Source organism: Homo sapiens, chromosome 16 (genome assembly GCF_000001405.40).
Source record: "Homo sapiens chromosome 16, GRCh38.p14 Primary Assembly".
NCBI classification, from domain to species: domain Eukaryota; kingdom Metazoa; phylum Chordata; class Mammalia; order Primates; family Hominidae; genus Homo; species Homo sapiens.
The window spans coordinates 70,321,129-70,340,959 of NC_000016.10; the positions used below are offsets into that span (position 1 = coordinate 70,321,129).

Consider the following 19,831-nt stretch of genomic DNA (forward strand, 5'->3'; position numbering starts at 1 on the left):
ATTTTGTATTTTTAGTAGAGATGGGGTTTCTCCATGTTAATCAGGCTGGTCTCGAACTCCCAACCTCAGGTGATCCGCCTGCCTCAGCCTCCCAAAGTGCTGGGATCACAGGCGTGAGCCACTGCGCCCGGCCTTCAGGCTTTTTTTTGTTTTGTTTTGGGGTTTTCTTTTGGTGGAGATGGGGTCTTACTTTGTTGCCCAGACTTGTCTTGAACTCCTACGCTCAAGCACGCTTCCCACCTTGCCTTCCCAAAGTGCTAGGGTTACAGGCATGAGCCATTGGGCCTAGCCAAGAAGCTCATTTTTAGATTGACAGTATTAGAAGAGACCAGCATTATTACTAGAATTATCTACTACCTTTCATCATTAACAAATATTTATTGAGTGCCTGTTATATAACAGATACTATGCTAGGCACTTGGATACATTAGTCAACAACGCAGACCAAAATTCCTGCCCACAAGGAGCTTATGTTCTAGTTTGAAATATAGCTAATTCATTTTTATTAAAATATAACAGGTGATAAATTACAAACATTAATGCCACTGAATAGTACACTTAAAAGTGGGTAAAAGGGCAAATTTTATGACATATATTTTTTACTTCAAATAAAAATAAATTTTGGCCAGGCGTGGTGGCTCACGCCTGTAATCCCAGCCCTTTGGGAGGCCGAGGCAGGCAGATCATTTGAGGTCAGGAGTTCGAGACCAGGCTGGCCAACATGGTGAAACCCCATCTCTACTAAAAATACAAAAAATTAGCTGGGCATGGTGGCACGTGCCTGTAATCCCAGCTACTCGGGAGGCTGAGGCAAAAGAATCGCTTGAACCTGGGAGACGGAGGTTGCAGTGAGCTGAGATCGCGCCATTGGACTCCAGCCTGGGCGACAGAGTGAGATTCCGTCTCAAAAAAAAAAAAAATTAATAATAAATTTTGGCCAGGCATAGTGGCTCATGCCTGTTATCCCAGCAATTTGGGAGGCCAAGGCAGGCAGATGGCTTGAGCCCAGGAGTTTGAGACCAGCCTGGGCAGCACAGTAAGACCTCATCTGTATTAAAGGGCAAAATTAAAAAAGAAATTAAATATACAACACTTTATTCTAACTACAAGGGGCAACAGATGTTTTGACAGGGAATCTAGATGTTTAAACAGAAATAGAATCAAGAGTTACCGGTGTGGCGGCTGGGCGCAGTGGCTTACAACTGTAATCCCAGGACTCTGGAATGCTGAAGTGGGCGGATCACTTGAGGTCAGGAGTTCAAGACCAGCCTGGCCAACATGGCGAAACCCATCTCTACAAAAAAAACACAAAAATAGCCATGCATGGTGGTGCATACCAGTCCCAGCTACTCAGGAGGCTGAGGCTCCGGAATTGCTTGGAATCCGCATAGTGGCGGTTGCAGTGAACTGAGATTGTGCCACTGCACTCCAGTCTGGGCGACAAAGTGAGACCTTGTCTCAAAAAAAAAAAAAAAAAAAAAAAGGCCGGGCGTGGTGGCTCACGACTGTAATCCCAACACTTTGGGAGGCCCAAGGCAAGTGGATCACCTGAGGTCAGCAGTTCACCAGCCTGGCCAACATGGTGAAACCCCATCTCTACTAAAAATACAAAAATTAGCCAGACGTGGTGGCAGGCATCTGTAATCCCAGCTACTCTGGAGGCTGGGGCAGAAGAATTGCTTGAACCTGGGAGGCAGAGGCTGCAGTGAGCTCAGATCGCGCCTTTGCACTCCAGCTCGGTGACAACAGTGAAACTCCGTTGCAAAAAAAAAAAAAAAAAAAAAAAGTCCCCATAAGGAACAGCTTACTTTTGCCAGATTTTAAAATTCCACCTGTGGCCGGGGGCCCTCCCCATGGTTTCACTTTTAGTTCATGTTTCTTCTGTTTGTTTGTTTGTTTTTTCCCCTGCCGGAAGACCTCATTTTCCTCGTCCATATCTTTGGCCTGCTGCGGCTGCTCCGTTTTTTGTTTTTTGTTTTTTTGAGACAGGGTCTTGCTCTGTCACCAGGGCTGGAGTACAGTGGTGCAGTCTCAGCTCACTGCAGCCTGCAACCTCCACCCTCCACCTCCTGGGCTCAAGAGATCCTCACATGTCAGCCTCCCAGGTAGCTGGGACTTCAGGTATGTACCACCATGTCCAGCTAATGTTTGTATCTTTTGTAGAGAAAGGGTTTCGGTATTTTGCCCAGGCTGGTCTCAAACTCCTAGGCTCAAGAAATCACCCACCTCAACCTCCCGAAGTGCTGAGATTGCAGGCATGAGCCACTGCACCTGACCTTGCCTGCTTTTTTTCTTTTTTCTTTTTTTTTTTTTGACACTGAGTCTCGCTCTATCACCCAGGCTGGAGTACAGTGGCGCGATCTCGGCTCACTGCAACCTCTGCCTCGTGGGTTCAAGCGATTCTCCTGCCTCAGCCTCCCAAGGAGCTGGGACTACAGGCGCCCACCACCATGCCTGGCTAATTTTTGTATTTTTAGTAGAGTCAGGGTTTTACCATGTTGGCCAGGCTGGTCTCAAATTCCTGACCTCGAATGATCCACCCACCTCGGCCTCCCAAAGTTCTGGGATTGCAGGCATGAGCCACCGCGCCTGGCCTTGCCTGCTTCTTGAGCTGCTTCTTGCCACCTTCAAGGCAAGACTTGGTTCTTGCCACTCTTACCCCCTACCCTGCTACCAAAACCTACATCTTGTTTTTTTTAGGCATTTCAAGGTAGATTACACTTTTAAATCAAGTGGTTAAGGTAGGATCTCCTGAAGTAGATATCTGGGCAAAGACTTGAAGGAGAGAAGGGAGTTAGCATGTTATCTGGGGACAGTTGTCCCAAGCAGAGCACAGCCAAGGCAGAAGCCCTAAGACAAGAGCATGACTGGCATGTTCTCTGAGCAGTACTAGGGCCCTGTGGTGGAACGAAGTAAGGGAGAGAGAGTAGTAGGAAATGAGAGCTGAGGTGTAATGGGGAGCAGATCATGCAGGACCTGTATGCCATTATGAGGGTTTCAACTTGTACTCTGAATGAAACGAGGAATTATTGGAAGGTCTTTGGGCAGAGAAGTAATGTGAGCTGACTCACATTTTAAGAATCAGTAGGCCAACTGCAGTGACTCACACCTATAATCCCAGCACTTTGGGAGGCTGAGGCAAGAGGATCACTTGAGCCCAGGAGGTTGAGGCTGCAGTGAGCCAAGATTGTGCCACTGCACTCCAGCCTGGTCAACAGAGTGAGACCTAATCTCAAAAAAAAAAAAAAAAAAAAAAAAAAGAAGAAGATGTGGAGTGCTTCAAATCCCACCAGAAAATCTTATTTCTATAGTGCCCTGTTCTTGTGAAGCTAGCATATGTAACTCTGCTACATAATCCAAGGTCTCCTATAAATGAATTTTTAATACTCATTTTTTTAAACTTTGTTAACTAAAAGGTTGAGATTTAAGCTCCTAACTAGTTTGTTTCTTGCGCAGCCCACAGAACTTAATTGCCCAATCTCAGTCTGGTACTGGTAAAACAGCTGCCTTCGTGCTGGCCATGCTTAGCCAAGTAGAACCTGCAAACAAATACCCCCAGGTAAGGATTTATGAATTTAGGTTTTCTACTAATGCATAGATAGAAGGGGATTTCCATTTGATGGATTAAAAGACAAGCTATGGGCTGGGTGCAGTGGCTCATGCCTGTAATCCCAGCACTTTGGGAGGCCGAGGTGGGCGGATCACCTGAGGTCAGGAGTTCTAGACCAGCCTGGCCAACATGGTGAAACCCTGTCTCTACTAAAAATAAAAAATTAGCTGGGCCTGGTGGCATGTGCCTGTAATCCCAGCTACTTGGGAAACTGAGGCAAGAGAATCATTTGAACCCGGGAGGCGGAGGTTGCAGTGAGCTGAGATCGCACCATTGCACTCCAGCCTGGGCAAAAAGAACGAAACTCTGTCTCAAAAAAATAAAATAAAAGCCAAGCTATGCATTACTTTTTACACAAACTGAAACTCCTTAAATTGAGCACAAATAATACGGGATATCTTCCAATGGCAATAAAAATCCTGTTTCCTTTTTCCATGGTGTGCCAGTTCTGGGATGCTTCTTACAGGCTTGGCTCCTTTACTTGCAGGAAAACCTGTTTCATCAGCAACTGCCATCCATTAGAAAGTTCTGAGAGCTTTCTGAGTAAACGAAAAGAAAGCTAATGCCAATTGGAACTTTAGATCCTTGCTCATGGGTGGGTTTTTGTATTGCAGTGGCCAGTATCTGTTTTCAAGTGTCTTTACCCAGCCAGAGTTCTGACCCCTAAGAATTCTAGCTTATGACTCTGTAGCTTAAAGAATCAAATGGTGTACATTTTAATGTACATATTCTTTCCTTCAGCTTCAGCTGGAGGAGTGGCTAAGTACTAATGGTAATTCCCCTTTGCAAAAGAGCTATTGTCTTGAATTTGCACTCTGCATTCTTTTCCTGCCAGTGTCTATGTCTCTCCCCAACGTATGAGCTCGCCCTCCAAACAGGAAAAGTGATTGAACAAATGGGCAAATTTTACCCTGAACTGAAGCTAGCTTATGCTGTTCGAGGCAATAAATGTGAGTATGTGAATTTGGTCCTAAATCATCAACCTAATTCTTTTTATTTTGAAATATTTCAAAACCCACCCAATAGTTGAAATAATACAATAAACACATGTATGTTCTCCAGCTAGATTCAAAAACTTAACATTTTGCCATATTTGCTTTACATAAATGTATACATTTTTGTCAAACCATTTGAAAGTAAACTGCAGACATGCACCTCATGAGGACATTCTTTGCCATACCTATGGATACCCTTTTATCACAACCAGGAAAATTAACAGATTTCCTAGAATAACTAATACCAGTCCATTTTTATTCCTCCCCAGCTGTTCCCAAAGTCTTCCTTTATAGCTGTTTGGTTTTTCGACCAAGATCAAGTTAGCGTTTATACGTTGCGTTTGGTTGTTGTACTTGTTTCTTTCAATCTAGAATTGTACCCCTACCTTTTTCTCTCCCTATTATATTTAACATTTTGCACAGACCAGACTAGTTGCTTTTCAAATATTCTACATTCTGGCCGGGCGCGGTGGCTCACGCCTGTAATCCCAGCCCTTTGGGAGGCCGAGGCGGGCAGCAGATCACGAGATCAGGAGATTGAGACCATCCTAGCTATCATGGTGAAACCCCGTATCTAATAAAAATACAAAAAAATTAGCCAGGCGTGGTGGCGGGCACCTGTAGTCCCAGCTACTTGCGAGGCTGAGGCAGGAGAATGGTGTGAACCTGGGAGGCAGAGCTAGCAGTGAGCTGAAATAGCGCCACTGCACTCGAGCCTGGGCGACAGAGCGAGACTCCGTCTCAAAACAAGCAAACAAACAAAAAACAAACAAACAAAAATTCTACATTCTAGATTTGTTTATTTTTATTTATTTATTTTAGAAACAGAGTCTTGCTCTGTCACTCAGGCTGGAGTACAGTGGCATGATCTTGGCTCACTGCAACCTCTGCCCTCCGGGTTCAAGTGATTCTCCTGCCTCAGACTCCCAAGTAGCTGGGATTACAGGTGCCTGCCACCATGGCTGGCTAATTTTGTATTTTTAGTACAGATGGGGTTTCACCACGTTGGCCAGGCTGGTCTCAAACTCTTGACCTCAGGTTATCCATCTGCCTCGGCCTCCCAAAGTGCTGAGATTATAGGTGTGAGCCACTGTGCCCAGACTTCTTTCTTTTTTTTTTGAGAGAGAGTCTCGCCCTGTCGCCCAGGCTGGAGAGCAGTGGCACAGTCTTGGCTCACTGCAAGCTCTGCCTCTGGGGTTCACACCATTCTCCTGCCTCAGCCTCCTGAGTAGCTGGGACTACAGGCGCCCACCACTACGCCCAGCTAATTTTTTGTATTTTTAGTAGAGACGGGGTTTCACTGTGTTAGCCAGGATGGTCTCTATCTGCTGACCTCGTGATCCTCCCGCCTTGGCCTCCCAAAGTGCTGGGATTACAGGCGTGAGCCACTGCGCCTGGCCGCCTTCTTTTTTTTATTTTGAGACAGTTTCGCTAGGTCACCTAGGCTGGAGTTCTGACTCCAGGCACGAGCCACCGTGCCTGGCCACACCCAGCTAATTTTCTAAAAATTTTTTTTGTAGGCCAAACATGGTGGCTCATGCCTGTAATCCCAGCACTTTAGCAGGCCGAGGTGGGTGGATCACGAGGTCAGGAGATAGAGACCATCCTGGCCAACATGGTGAAACCCCATCTCTACTAAACATAGAAAAATTAGCCAGGTGTGGTGGCATGTGCCTGTCGTCCCAGCTACTCAGGAGGCTGAGGCAGGAGAATCACTTGAACCCGGGAGGTGGAGGTTGCAGTGAGCCAAGATCGTGCCACTGCACTCCAGCCTGGGCGATAGAGCAAGACTCTGTCTCAAAACAAAACAAACAAAAAAAAACAAACAAATTTTTTTTTTTTTTGTAAAGACAGTGTCTTGCTATGTTGCCCAAGCTGGTCTAGAACTCCAAGTCTCAAGCAATCCTCCTGCCTCGTCCCCTCAAAGTGATGGGATTACAGGTGTGAGCCACTAGGCCAGGACTGAATTTGTTTAATTGCCTAATTTATTTATCTTCATTAGCAGAATAAAAACCCAGAATGTTTATGGCTATTGACTCTGGGGCTTATTCTGTTAATTATTTTTTGTTACTAATTTTTTCTACACTAGTTTGTTTTACAGTTAATATTATTTAAGTAATTTTAAAAGTGTTGTTGGCCGGACATGATGGCTCATACCTGTAATCTCAGCACTTTGGGAGCCTAAGGTGGGTGGATCATTGTAAGGTTAGGAGTTCGAGACCAGCCTGACCAACATGATGAAACCCAGTCTCTACTAAAAATACAAAAATATTAGCTGGGCATGGTGGTGCACACCTGTAATCCCAGCTACTCAGGAGGCTGAGGCAGGAGAATTGCTTGAACCCGGGAGGGGGAGGTTGCAGTGAGCCGAGATTGCACCACTGTACTCCAGCCTGGGCGACAGAATGAGATTCTGTCTCAAAAAAAAAAAAGTGTTAGAGGTTTGGTTGAGTTTTATGGATCTCTGAAACAAATGTGACCTTATGAAAATCAAGTCTGCATACAGTGTCCTAATGCCAACTTGAGGCCAGTTCTGAAAAGTAAATAATACAGTGAAACTTATTGGGAGATAATCATTTAAAATTTTGCAATTTGTATTCGAATTAGAAGGGTAGAGAATTCTGAATTTTTTTTTTTTTTTTTTTTTTGAGACAGAGTCTCAGTCTGTCTCCGGGCTGGAGTGCAGTGGCGCGATCTCGGCTCACTGCAACCTCCGCCTCCTGGGTTCAAGCGATTCTCCTGCCCCAGCCTCCCAAATAGCTGAGATTACATGAGCCCACCACCACACCCAGCTAATTTTTGTATTTTTAGTAGAGATGGGGTTTCGCCATGTTGGCCAGGCTGGTCTCGAACTCCTGACCTCAGGTGATCCGCCTGCCTCAGCCTTCCAAAATGCTGGGATTACAGGCATGAGCCACCGTGCCCGGCCCTTTTAGTTATTTTTAAATGTACAATATATTGTTGACTGTAGTCACCACATTGTGCTATCAAATGCTAGATCTTACTTATTTTAATTGTATTTTTGTACCCATTACCTTTTCAGCATTTTTGTCTGTTTTTATGTCCATTAAATGCTATAGTGATATCCTAACCTTTCCTTAATATATTAATGCAAACAGCAAAACATTTGCATTAAAATATATAATAGGTTTAGAATTTCTCAGAGAGAAGAGCTGGCTTTGCCTTTGAAATACCCATGGAGGCCGGGCACGGTGGCTCATGCCTGTAATCCCAGCACTTTGGGAGGCCGAGGCAGGTGGATCACCAGGTCAGGAGTTCAAGACCAGCCTGGCCAAGAGAGTGAAACCCACCTCTACTAAAAATACAAAAAAAAAAAAAATTAGCCAGGTGCAGTGGCAGGTGCCTGTAATCCTAGATACTTGGGAGGCTGAGGCAGGAGAATCGCTTGAACCTGGGCGGCAGAGGTTGCAGTGAGTCGAGATCATGCCATTGCACTCCAGCCTGGGCAACAGAGTGAGACTCTGTCTCAAAAAAAAAAAAAAAAAAAAAGAAAGAAAGAAATACCCACACATGGAAAACATCTTGGGGTCTCCACAGTGGAAAGAGGCCAGAAGATCAGTGAGCAGATTGTCATTGGCACCCCTGGGACTGTGCTGGACTGGTGCTCCAAGCTCAAGTTCATTGATCCCAAGAAAATCAAGGTGTTTGTTCTGGATGAGGCTGATGTCATGATAGCCACTCAGGGCCACCAAGATCAGAGCATCCGCATCCAGAGGTAGGGATCTCGAGGGTGGGGGACTCCTCAGATTCCCCATCTGCAGTGTCTTCTCCCTTCACTTCAGATGCCTCCTCTGGCTTCTGCCTGGGTCTTGGCTCTCGTACTCTCAGCAGCATTTGTTTGACGGGCCACTTCCGTGTCAGCGCTGGCCACAGTCCCTCCCAGCCTGGGTTGAGAAAGGAGACCTAGGGACTCTCCCCCAACCCCTGTCCCCATCCCAGGCCTGCTGCTCCTCCTCCCCAAGACGCTCCTCTCCCATCAGCCTTCCTGGGCATCTAGACCCTCCCAGCTGGGAAGGCTGTGCTTCTGTCGCTTCCCGGGGCCACCTGGGGCCACCTACCAGGGCCTTCCCTTGCAGGATGCTGCCCAGGAACTGCCAGATGCTGCTTTTCTCCGCCACCTTTGAAGACTCTGTGTGGAAGTTTGCCCAGAAAGTGGTCCCAGACCCAAACGTTATCAAACTGAAGCGTGAGGAAGAGACCCTGGACACCATCAAGCAGTACTATGTCCTGTGCAGCAGCAGAGACGAGAAGTTCCAGGCCTTGTGTAACCTCTACGGGGCCATCACCATTGCTCAAGCCATGATCTTCTGCCATGTGAGTAGCAGTGGCAGTGGCAGGCCTGGCCCTTCCCTCTCAGCCAGCTCCCCACAGGGCTCAGGAGGACTGGATGCCCCTGGGTGCCATGGGAAGAAACGAAGTGGTTTGTTCTCCTAAGGTTTTAGTGAGTCGTAAGAGGGAGACTTTGATTCCACTTCTTAGTGATTACTTGGAGAAAACCCCAAGTAACAGCCAATGAAATAATTTTTAGATTTTTAAGAATATAAGCTGGGCGGCTGGCACGGTGGCTCATGCCTGTAATCCCTGCACTTTGGGAGGCCAAGGCGGGTGGATCACCTGAGGTCAGGAGACCAAGACCAGCCTGGCCAACATGGTGAAACCCCATCTCTACTAAAAATACAAAAAATTAGCCGTGCGTGGTGGTGTGCACCTGTAATCCCAGCTACTCAGGAGGCTGAAGCAGGAGAATCGCTTGAACCCGGGAGGTGGAGGTTGCAGTGAGCTGTGATTGCTCCATTGCACTCCAGCCTGGGTAACAAGAGCGAAACTCTGTCTCAATACAAAAACAAACAAACAAACAAAAAACCAACAACAAAAAAAGAGTATAAGCTGGGCAAGTACCTGTAGTCCCAGCTACTCAAGAGGCTGAGGTTGGAGGATCGCTTGAGCCCAGGAGTTCAGACCAGCATGGGCAACATAGTGAGACCTCATCATTAAAAATATATATATGGCTGGGCACAGTGGCTCACGCCTGTAATCCCAGCCTTTTGAGAGGCTGAGGTGGGGGGATCTTCTTGAGCCCAGGAGTTCAAGACCAGCTTGCACAACATAGCAAGACCCCATCTCTACAAAAATTTTAAAAATTAGCCAGGCGTGGTGGTGCATGCCTGTGGTCCCAGCTGCTTGGGAGGCTCAGATGGGAGGATTGATTGAGCCCAGGAGGTTGAGACTGCAGTGAGCTGTGACTGTGCACTCCAGAGTGGGCAAGAGAATGAGATCCTGTCTCAAAAAATTTAAATTTAAAATAAAATTTTAAAATATATATGTTGTTTGTTTGTTTTTGAGATAAGGTCTTGCTCTATCATTCAGGCCAGAATACAGTGGCATGGTCATAGCTCACTGCAGCCTTGGCTCTTGTTACTAGGGCTACAGGTATGTGCCCCATGCATGTCAGCCTAATTTTTATTTTTATTTTTGTAGAGGTGGGGTCTTGCTATGTTGTCCAGGCTGGTCTCAAACTCCTGGCCTCAAGCAATCTTCCAGCCTCAGCCTCCCAAAGCCTAAGACTACAGGCACGAGCCACCATATCTGGCAAGAACATAGACTATTTAGGAATGAAGATCTTTGGCTAAAGCCACACTCTTCCTAGATACAAAAGTAACAGCAGTTACATAACTTATCTAAAAAGAAAAAAATCATATGACTAAAATTCTATTTGAAAGAAAAATTTTTTTTTGAGATGGGTTCTTGCCATGTTGTGCAGGCCAGCCTCGAACACTTGGGCTCAAGTGTGTAGCTTGGACTACAGGTGTGTACTACCATGCTTCATTGAGAAATTTTAAGCCTAACCTCCTAACTGGATTTAGCAGGGCCTTCATGTATTTTAATCGTGGCAAGCCACTTTTTAGCAGTTGTCTTCCTTTTGTTTTTAACAGGTCTCTTCATAAAAAACAATTCTTTTCACTACAGACTCGCAAAACAGCTAGTTGGCTGGCAGCAGAGCTCTCAAAAGAAGGCCACCAGGTGGCTCTGCTGAGTGGGGAGATGATGGTGGAACAGAGGGCTGCAGTGATTGAGCGCTTCCGAGAGGGCAAAGAGAAGGTTTTGGTGACCACCAACGTGTGTGCCCGCGGTGAGCAGAGGACGTGTCCCACCTGGTCTGCCAGGCTTGGGGTCCCAGGCCCAGTTAGAGCCAGAAATCCTTGTACACAGGGAAGTCGGATGGTCTCAGGGAGATGGGTGGGGTTGGTGACACTATTCCTTTCTAGGAGAGACTGTTTGGATTTCCCTCAGGTGATAAGAACTCCCACAGAAGCCAGGAGTCCTGACTTGGTGGAAGGAAATGTACAGGCATCTGACTGGTAGAGAACAGAGCCTGCTCTTCCAGGGATGCCCATCTCCAGAACATTGTGTCTCCCAGAGGCTTACTGACTGATTTCATAATTTTGTTGGCACCTGCCAAAGTTTTGTTCTTTTCCTCCAGGTTCTGCTGTATGCCTGTATGTGCCCTCTCTTGTACCCAATTCCCAGAGTTGGCCTGTCCCAAATGTATTTATTTATTTTTTTGAGACAGAGTCTTGCTCAATGGCCCAGGCTGGAGTGCAGTGGCACAATCTCAGCTCACTGTAACCTCCGCCTCTCAGGTTTAAGTGATTCTCCCGCCTCAGCCTCCCGAGTAGCTGGGATTACAGGCGCCTGCCACCAAGCCCAGCTAATTTTTGTATTTTCAGTACAGATAGGGTTTTGCAGTGTTGGCCAGGCTAGTCTTGAACTCTTGACCTCAGATGATCTGCCTGCCTCGGCCTCCCAAAGTGCTGGGATTACCGGTATGAGCCACCGCACTCGGCCCCCCAAATTCTTTCCCTTTACCCGAAGTTGGTATGCATTGACTTACCTGTGGACAACAGTGATTTTTGTCTCCTGTCCTTACTTCTCTCTGTCTCCAACTCTCAGGGACTCATTCATCACCTCTCCCTGCACCCCACCCCCTGACCCGTGCTAGTTTGGTATCTATGCCTGTAGCTTTGCTTTGGGGCATCATCTGAATCTCATACTGCACGGCCTTTCAGATCTGGCTTCCTGCACTCAATGTCATGCACGTCTCTTAGTGCCGTGTTCCCTTAATGCTGAGTCATGCTCCATTGTATGGATGGACCACATGACTGATTTGCCTCCTGTCCTTAGTCCTCTCAGCCTCCAACTCTCCTTCCTGCAGGCATTGATGTTGAACAAGTGTCTGTCGTCATCAACTTTGATCTTCCCGTGGACAAGGACGGGAATCCTGACAATGAGACCTACCTGCACCGGATCGGGCGCACGGGCCGCTTTGGCAAGAGGGGCCTGGCAGTGAACATGGTGGACAGCAAGCACAGCATGAACATCCTGAACAGAATCCAGGAGCATTTTAGTGAGTCCCGGGGAGGGTCCTGTGCCTGGCGCCCTTTGCTAAGTAGGGCGGGGTGGTGAAAGGGGTAGGATCTTCTGTAGCCCCAAGAGAGGCTCTGTCCCTAGCACACTCCCCTCCTTTCTGACCATATGGCAGTTCTCAGGGAGCACACCTGGAGACTTCAGGACCCAGGGACTCCAAGAACAGCTCCCCTGTGACTGGGCTTCGGGGCGTGGGGCTCTGACTGTTGCTGTCAGTGACTAGGGGCCCTGCTGCCCCCTGCTTAGGCACCCGGAGCCTTTGGGGCTGAATGAATGATTGCTGTGGCCCAAGATGGGGCACATTCCTGGGCAGGGTAGAGACCTGTGTATCTTTCCCCCAGATAAGAAGATAGAAAGATTGGACACAGATGATTTGGACGAGATTGAGAAAATAGCCAACTGAGAAGCTCCACCAGCCACTGATGCCAGCCCTGGCACTGCCCCTGCACAGGAGACAAGTGCGTTCAGGGCACAGGCCCCGACATCACCCCAAGGACAACGGCACAAGTAGAGAGAAACTACCTACCTCACTTCAAATTATGTTTGGACTTGACAAAAATGTATGCAAATGATGGGGGATGGTAGAAAAAAATTATTTACACAACCTTGGAAGATTAGGCATGAATACACAGAGATTTACCTTTTGGAAGTTTCATCTTTTAATTTGGCCAGTGTTTCCTTCATGCTAATCTAGATGCTGTGGCTGATTACTTGCCCAGGATCTCCTGTGGCAGCCTCTGCTTGTTCTCTGGCTTGGAGTGGATGGGGCAGCCTCCAGCTCCTGTGGAAGTAATGGAATAGTGGTGGAAAGGGAACACAGAGAGGGAGGCTTCCAGTAAGATAGGTGTGTAAGCCCAGCCATCATGTTTGGAATGGCATGAGGCAGCAGAGGAGGCCTGAGAGCTGCTGCTTTGGACTTGGGGGTGGGACAGCTCATCTGAGTATTGCCAGCCCCCTGTCCTAGTGCCCACAGCAGAAGGGAATTTGTTAAATAAGCATGGACCAAAATGCCAACCTCTCGGTTGTGTATATGGGTTTGTGTCACAGGACTGTGACCTGTTCTCGGTGGGTGCAGTCTGTGTAGAGTGCACATCTGATTATTGGTGGGTCCTGTGCCTGTGCTTAAGCAAGTCCTGTGGAGAAGTCATCATGGAGAATTAGTGGTGGCCCTAGCGTGCCACAAAACCTGGTCTCATGAGCATTTGCAACATCCCTTTTACATCCTTAATATCCCCTTACCCCACAGTAGCCCCAAACAAATGTGATCTGAGGTTTAGATCCTCAGTGAAAATTGTGGTTTCAAGTCTTCATGGCCAGCCTCAAGGCAGTTCTAGATGTGATCAGCAGTAGTCACAAATTCTTGTTTTGTCTCCACACCCAGAAGGCAAGTTTTGTCAGAGCTGGGGAATAATTTCAGATATTTGACATCTTGATTATAAAGGGCTTCTGAACATCTGTGTTTACTGCCTTTGGAATACAAACAGGTGCAACTGAGGGACTAGCTACACTACCACCATTTATCTGTCCAAGGCAAGAGTATCACCAAGGCCTTTGCTCCAGCCTTACTTGGCATCTTTGCGCAAGATAGTCAGAGCAAACAATAGTAATGGACACTTCTCACACCTGGCCAAGGCTGTTGGTACCCACGAAATGACAGCAAAGATGAGAGGAAACTGAATTGCAAGAGCAATATGAAACCCCAACCAAGAGGAGTACTCTGCAGTTCTTTGGCTTTGGTATAGAGTGGCCACTTTCTCTAGGACCTGGAAGAAGAGTTTGATGGCTAAGAACGATTGTGATCCTAGGTCTTCTTTGTACGCATCTCCGTATTTAGGCCAGATCTGCCTCCTGGGAAGGGAAGGGGCCAATGTCAGCCTCCAGGTGATTTCTTTAATCTGACATTACAAAGAGACCAACAGACTGCCAATTCTACCACATTCCCCTGGTGGGTACTCGACTATGTAGTTTTCTCTATGCTTCTGGTCAACTCTGACACATCTTGGAATTCTTGTAATAAGAAAAGAAATTTTTATACTTTTTTCTCCTTCCCTGAGTCCTGTGGACCAACCCTGAAATACTAAAAACAAGGGCAATAATTAAAGAAGTATAGACTCTTTAGTAGGCCACAGGCAGAGCAGACTCCCACCTTCTCAAGCACATACAACCTCTCTACTGGTGTAGCCCCAAGTGTGAGAAGGAAAGTGGGAAGCGGGGTGCTGCAGACTCTTTGACAGCAGGAGGAATGGGAATCTGGTAGAAGTATAGGTCAACAGTTCTTTTTTTTTTTTTTTGGAAACGGAGTCTCACTCTGTTGCCCAGGCTGGAGTGCCGTGGCACGACCTCGGCTCACTGTAACCTCTGCCTCCCAGGTTCAAGCGATTCTCCTGCCTCGGCCTCCTAGGACTACAGGTGCACGCCACCGCACCCAGCTAATTTTTGTATTTTTAGTAGAGATGGGGGTTTCACCATGTTGGCCAGGCTGGTCTTGAACTCCTGACCTCAAGTGATCCACCCACCTTGGCCTCCCAAAGTGCCAGGATTACAGGCGTGAGCCACCGCGCCCAGCCAACAGTTATTAATCAGGGGTCTTGGACCTCTAAGAATTCACTGGATGGGTTTCATGGAGTCTACGAAGTATATATACAGTAGTTTGAGTTTAAATGTATTTTCCTGGCTGGGTGCAGTGGCTCATGCCTGTAATACCAGCACTTTGGTAGGCCTAGGTGGGCGGATCACCTGAGATCGGGAGTTCGAGACCAGCCTGACCCACATGAAGAAACCCTATCTCTATTAAAAATACAAAATTAGCTGGGCTTGGTGGTGCATGCCTATAATCCCAGTTACTTTGGAAGGCCGAACCTGGGAGGTGGAGGTTGCGGTGAGCTGAGATTGCGCTGTTGCACTCCAGCCTGGGCAACGAGAGCAAAACTGTCTCAAAAAACAAAACAAAACAAAAAGGCCCGGCTCAATGACTCACACCTGTAATCCCAGCACTTTGGGAGGCTGAGGCGGGCAGATCACCTGAGGTCAGGAGATCAAGACCAGCCTGGCTAACACAGTGAAACCCCGTCTCTACTAAAAATACAAAAAATTAGCCGGGCGTGGTGGCAGGCGCCTGTATTCCCAGCTACTTGGGAGGCTCAGGCAGGAGAATGGCCAGAACCCGGGAGGCGGAGCTTGCAGTGAGCTGAGATCGCGCCACTGCACTCCAGCCTGGGCAACAGAGCGAGACTCCGTCTCAAACAACAACAACAACAACAAAATATATTTTCCTGGGGAGACTCCCAAAAGATTATATGTCTTTTAAAAAGGTAAGTCCCACTGTTGTGGATGGTTCTGGAATGTTACCCCAGCGTTACTACAGCTCATATTTCTTCCTTATTCCTTCCATATTCATTCCTGCCAGTGCCTAGCTCCCAGGGCCATAGCTGCGTCTGTGACCTTGTGTAGCCTAGAGCCAACAGTGATATAAATCTGCATTGAGCTTGGTGAGCTTTGGTCCCTAGGGATTCTTTTACTGATTTTAGTAAGTACCTATATATGAAATGATAGCTGGGTGGGTTGACTCATGCCTGTAATCCCAGCACTTTGGGAGGCTGAGGCAGGAGGACTGCTTGAGCCCAAGAGTTCAAGACCAGCCTAGGTAACAAAGTGAGACCTTGTCTCCACAAAATAATTTTTTTTTAAATTAGCCAGGCATAGTAGTTCATGCCTGGAGTCCCAGCTACTGGGGAGGCTGAGGCAGGCGGATTGCCTGAGCCCAGGAGTTCAAGGCTGCAGTGAGTTACGATTGTGCCGTTGCACTCCAGCCTGGGTGACAGAGCAAGAAAGACTCTGACTCAAAAAAAAGAGAAAAAAACACTGGGTGCAGTGGCTCATGCCTGTAATCCCAGCACTTTGGGATGCCAAGGCGGGCGAATCACCTGAGGTCAGGAGTTTGAGACCAGCCTGGCCAACATGGTGAAACTCTATCTCTACTAAAAATACAAAAATTAGCTGGGTGTGGTGGTGCATGCCTGTAATCCCAGCTACTAGGAAGGCTGAGGCAGGAGAGTTGCTTGAACCTGGGAGGCAAGAGGTTGCAGTGAGCCGAGATCTCGCCACTGCACTCCAGCCTGGGCGACAGAGTGAGACTCCGTCTCAAAAAAAAAAAAAGAAAAAAGAAATGATAAACTGCTCTAGAACAGAGAAACTTGGGAAAAGGAATGTTTGGCCCAATGGAAAATTCTGGATATATTCATTATCTATAAATAATGCATTTTATTATTTTTCTTGAGTGTCATTCATTGGCTGTATGCATAAGAACTAATTGTTGATATATTCTTTTAATTGAAGATTAACCTGAATTGAGGATTAACATGAAGATTAATTAATAATAATTCAGGTTAATTGAACTTTAATTATGAAGTTTTCATATTACCAAGAAATCATTAATGAGTATAAGAAGGAAAGAGCTGGGTGCAGAGTGTCACGCCTATAATCCCAGCTACTTGGGAGGCTGAGGCAGGAGGATCACTGGAAGCCAGGAGTTCCAGATCATTCTGGGCAAACAGCGATATCTTGTTTCTTAAAAAGTTTAAAAAAGAAAATTAAGCCAGGCACAGTGGCTCACTCCTGTAATCCCAGCACTTTGAGAGGCTAGGGCAGATGGACTGCTCGAGGCCAAGGGTTTGAGAACAGCCTGGGCAACATAGTGAGACCCCATCTATAAAAAATAAAAAATTATAAAAAAATTAGCCAAGTATGCTGACGCATGCCTATAGTCCCAGCTACCCAGGAGACTGAGGTGGGAGGATCGCCTGAGCCTGGGGGGTTGAGGCTGCAGTGAGACATGATCCATGCCACTGCACTCCAACCTGGGCAACAGAGCAAGACCCCATCTCCTGAAAAAGAAGGTAGGAGAAACAGCAGCATGTTTTTGATTGCTGGTATTTGGGTATTTTTGTTTTAACAAGACTAATGTTGTAAAGTTTAACATTCTGTGCATTGGGATTGCCCATGGCTGAGCTCTACAGTCATTCTGAACCGGCGTGGTGGAGGTGCTCATGGTCATACTGGTTGAAGTTTTCTTGAAATATCTCAAGTTTGGTGTCAAGCACTTTATATTTTTCTTGTTGTTGAGATGGAGTCTTGCTCTGTTGCCCAGGCTGTAGTGCAGTGGCGCCATCTCAGCTCTCTGCAACCTCTGCCTCCCAGGCTCAAGCAATTCTTGTGCCTCAGCCTCCTGAGTTACTGGACCACAGGTGCCACCATGCCCGGGTAATTTTTGTATTTTTAGTAGAGATGGGGTTTCACCATGTTGGCCAAGGTCTTGAACTTCTGACCTCAGGTGATCCGCCTGCCGTGTATAGGCGTGAGCCACCATACACGGCTAATTTTTGTATTTTTAGTAGGGACGGGGTTTCACCATGTTGGCCAGACCGGTCTCGAACTCCTGGCCTCAAGCGAGCAACTCACCTCGGCCTCCCAAAGTGCTGGGATTACAAGTGTGAGCCACCATGCCTGGCCAGGTTTGTTAATTTCTATAGCAAGTAGGATTATGCCAGAGGAACAAATTAAATATTTTATTCATTTGATTTTTTTTTAACTTTCCCTACCTTCGAAAAACTCTGACTTTATATTTAACATCAATGGAAGGGACAACTTCAGAAAAAGGTGCAGTACCTCTAGTCTCATGGACCGTTCTGCTTAACTCCCCCACACTTCACTGACTATTTCAAGACTTTCACTCACCTCATAATTCCAACCCTATCATCCCCCTCAGGTGTCAGCAAATAAGCTCCTTACTCTAAGAAAATGGCTAACATACAGAAACTCCCTCAACCTTCTGCCACCAGAACTTCCTCCATGAGCACCGGTCCTTCCCTCTCCCTCCTGTTCCAATGAGACATGTATCCCTGTTATCTAAATTTCTCAGCTGAGTGAAATTACTCACACCTAATCTCAGCAACCTCGGGAGGCCAAGGCAGGAGGATCCCTTGAGCCCAGGAGTCTGACACCAGCCTGGGCGACACAGGGAGACCTCATCTTTACAAAAAAAAATTAAAAATTAGCCAGGCATGGTGGCTCATGCCTGTAGTCCCAGCTACTTTGGAGGCTGAGGCAGGAGGATCACTTGATCCCAGGAGTTTGAGGCTGCAGTAAGCCATGACTGCACCATTGCACTCCAGCTTGGGTAACAAAATGAGACCCTGCCTTAAAAAAAAAAAAAAAATATATATATATATATATATATATATATATATATGTAAATATGTACATTTTTCTGCCAATCCACCAACTTCCCTCTCCTGGCTTTTAAGAACTTGCTCTGTCAACTATCCCCTTATATTTGCTACCTCTCCCACCCCATCAGCTCTTTCTCATTGATATTTTAACATGTTCATACTTGACCGCTCTTTACAATTCAACCCTCTATTCCTCATCTTTCAGCCTGTCTCCTAATGGCAGAAAGTCTTGTAAGGTTGCTTGTATGCAGAGTCTCATTCCTCATCCCTCTGCAGTCTTGACTTTTGCTCCATCACTCCCCTGAAATAGCCTTCATGAAAGACACTGATGACTTACAGGTCCGAAATCTGAAAACCACTTTTTTTTTAGATGGGGGGGGTCTCACTTTGTTGCCCAGGCTGGAGTGCAGTGGCATAGTCACAGCTTACTGCAGCCTTGAACTCCAAGCTCAAGTGATCCTCCTGCCTCAGCCTCCCTAGTAGCTGTGGCTACAGATGCATGCAACCACACTCAGCTTAAAAGCTACATTTTAATCCCTGTTATATTTGCCTTCTCAGCAGCATTTAACTCTATCAACAGTCTCTTTCTCTGGCCACTCTTCTGGGGAGGAAAGTGACGCACACTTTGCTTCCTGGTCTTCTCTCTACCACTTCAGTCTTCTTGGCAGACCTCTCCTTTATTCACCTCCTAAATGGGCCTGTTCCTCATGGCTCTATTCTGGGTTCTCTTTCCCTGCCAGAGGCAACACTGTTCATTCCTATGGCTTTATTTGTCTGCTGGTGACACCCAAATCTATACCAAGACCTGATCCTTGAGCTCCAGCGTCATGAAAACGAAAGCACACATGGCACTTGCACTTGGGGTGTCTTCTATGAGTCCCGTCCTCATGTCCAACATTGAACATATGCCACTACCAAGCACTCAAAAAACCCAAGCTCTGCTCTCAGCTTTTCCTCTAACTTCCCCTCACAAGATGGTACTGCAATAGCCTGTTACTCAAGCCAGAAGCCTGGGGTTCATCATGAATCTTCCTGCCCTGCCCTGCTGTCCTTTTATATCAGTTATCCACTGCTGTGTTGCAAATTGCCCCAAAACAATGGCTTAAGACAACAGCCTTTCTCACAATTCTGAGTTGTCTGGAAAGCTCTGCTGGTCTCTCCCAGGCTGGCTGAAGCAGCTGTCTTCCCCCAGCTAGTATCTGGACTCAGCTATGGCTGCTAGGCCTCTCCACGTGACTTTCGTCTTCACAGGATGGTGGATGGTCTCTGGGCTCCTTCTCTCTTTTTTTTTCCAGACGGAGTCTCGCTCTGTCGCCCAGGCTGGAGTGCAGTGGCGCGATCTCGGCTCACTGCAACCTCCGCCTCCCCAGTTCAAGTGTTTCTCCTGCCTCAGCCTCCCTAGTAGCTGGGATTACAGGTGCCCACCACCATGCCCAGCTATTTTATTTTATTTTTTGTATTTTTAGTAGAGACGGGGTTTCATCATGTTGGTCAGGGTGGTCTTGAACTCCTGACCTTGTGATCTGGTCTCTGGGCTCTTTCTAAGAGGAAAG

The 19,831-nt window shown here is 47.0% G+C and overlaps 1 protein-coding gene and 1 long non-coding RNA gene across 9 annotated transcripts in view, besides 1 other annotated feature; one reads left to right on the top strand and one right to left on the bottom strand.

Moving 5' to 3' along the window:
* DDX19B (DEAD-box helicase 19B) overlaps nucleotides 1-14,177 on the top strand; it is a 45,539-nt gene extending 31,362 nt beyond the window's left edge. For 7 of the 8 annotated variants that reach the window (NM_001257174.2, NM_001257173.2, NM_001363938.1 and 4 more), the window contains 7 exons: nucleotides 3,457-3,559; nucleotides 4,446-4,560; nucleotides 8,164-8,341; nucleotides 8,703-8,940; nucleotides 10,594-10,756; nucleotides 11,840-12,031; nucleotides 12,393-14,152. In NM_001257174.2, the coding sequence (NP_001244103.1) occupies nucleotides 3,457-3,559; nucleotides 4,446-4,560; nucleotides 8,164-8,341; nucleotides 8,703-8,940; nucleotides 10,594-10,756; nucleotides 11,840-12,031; nucleotides 12,393-12,454 (1,051 nt within the window). In that variant the 3' untranslated portion in view covers nucleotides 12,455-14,152. Of the gene's footprint in view, nucleotides 1-3,456; nucleotides 3,560-4,445; nucleotides 4,561-8,163; nucleotides 8,342-8,702; nucleotides 8,941-10,593; nucleotides 10,757-11,839; nucleotides 12,032-12,392 lie in introns of all 8 variants that reach the window. The other variant, NM_007242.7, reaches the window with a different exon arrangement.
* DDX19A-DT (DDX19A divergent transcript) overlaps nucleotides 1-19,831 on the bottom strand; it is a 31,108-nt gene that overhangs the window by 5,489 nt on the left and 5,788 nt on the right. Inside the window, exon 3 of the long non-coding RNA NR_039997.1 lies at nucleotides 12,692-12,832. This is a non-coding gene — a long non-coding RNA (DDX19A divergent transcript). The remainder of the gene's footprint in view (nucleotides 1-12,691; nucleotides 12,833-19,831) is intronic.
* Nucleotides 11,452-12,651: an enhancer, noted in NCBI's record as "MED14-independent group 3 enhancer chr16:70366483-70367682 (GRCh37/hg19 assembly coordinates)". NCBI's record gives its function as "activates an origin of replication core promoter dependent on BRD2, BRD4, P300/CBP and CDK7 cofactors, and independent of MED14, by STARR-seq in HCT116 cells {active_cell/tissue: HCT116}" and the evidence as "EXISTENCE:reporter gene assay evidence [ECO:0000049][PMID:35650434]".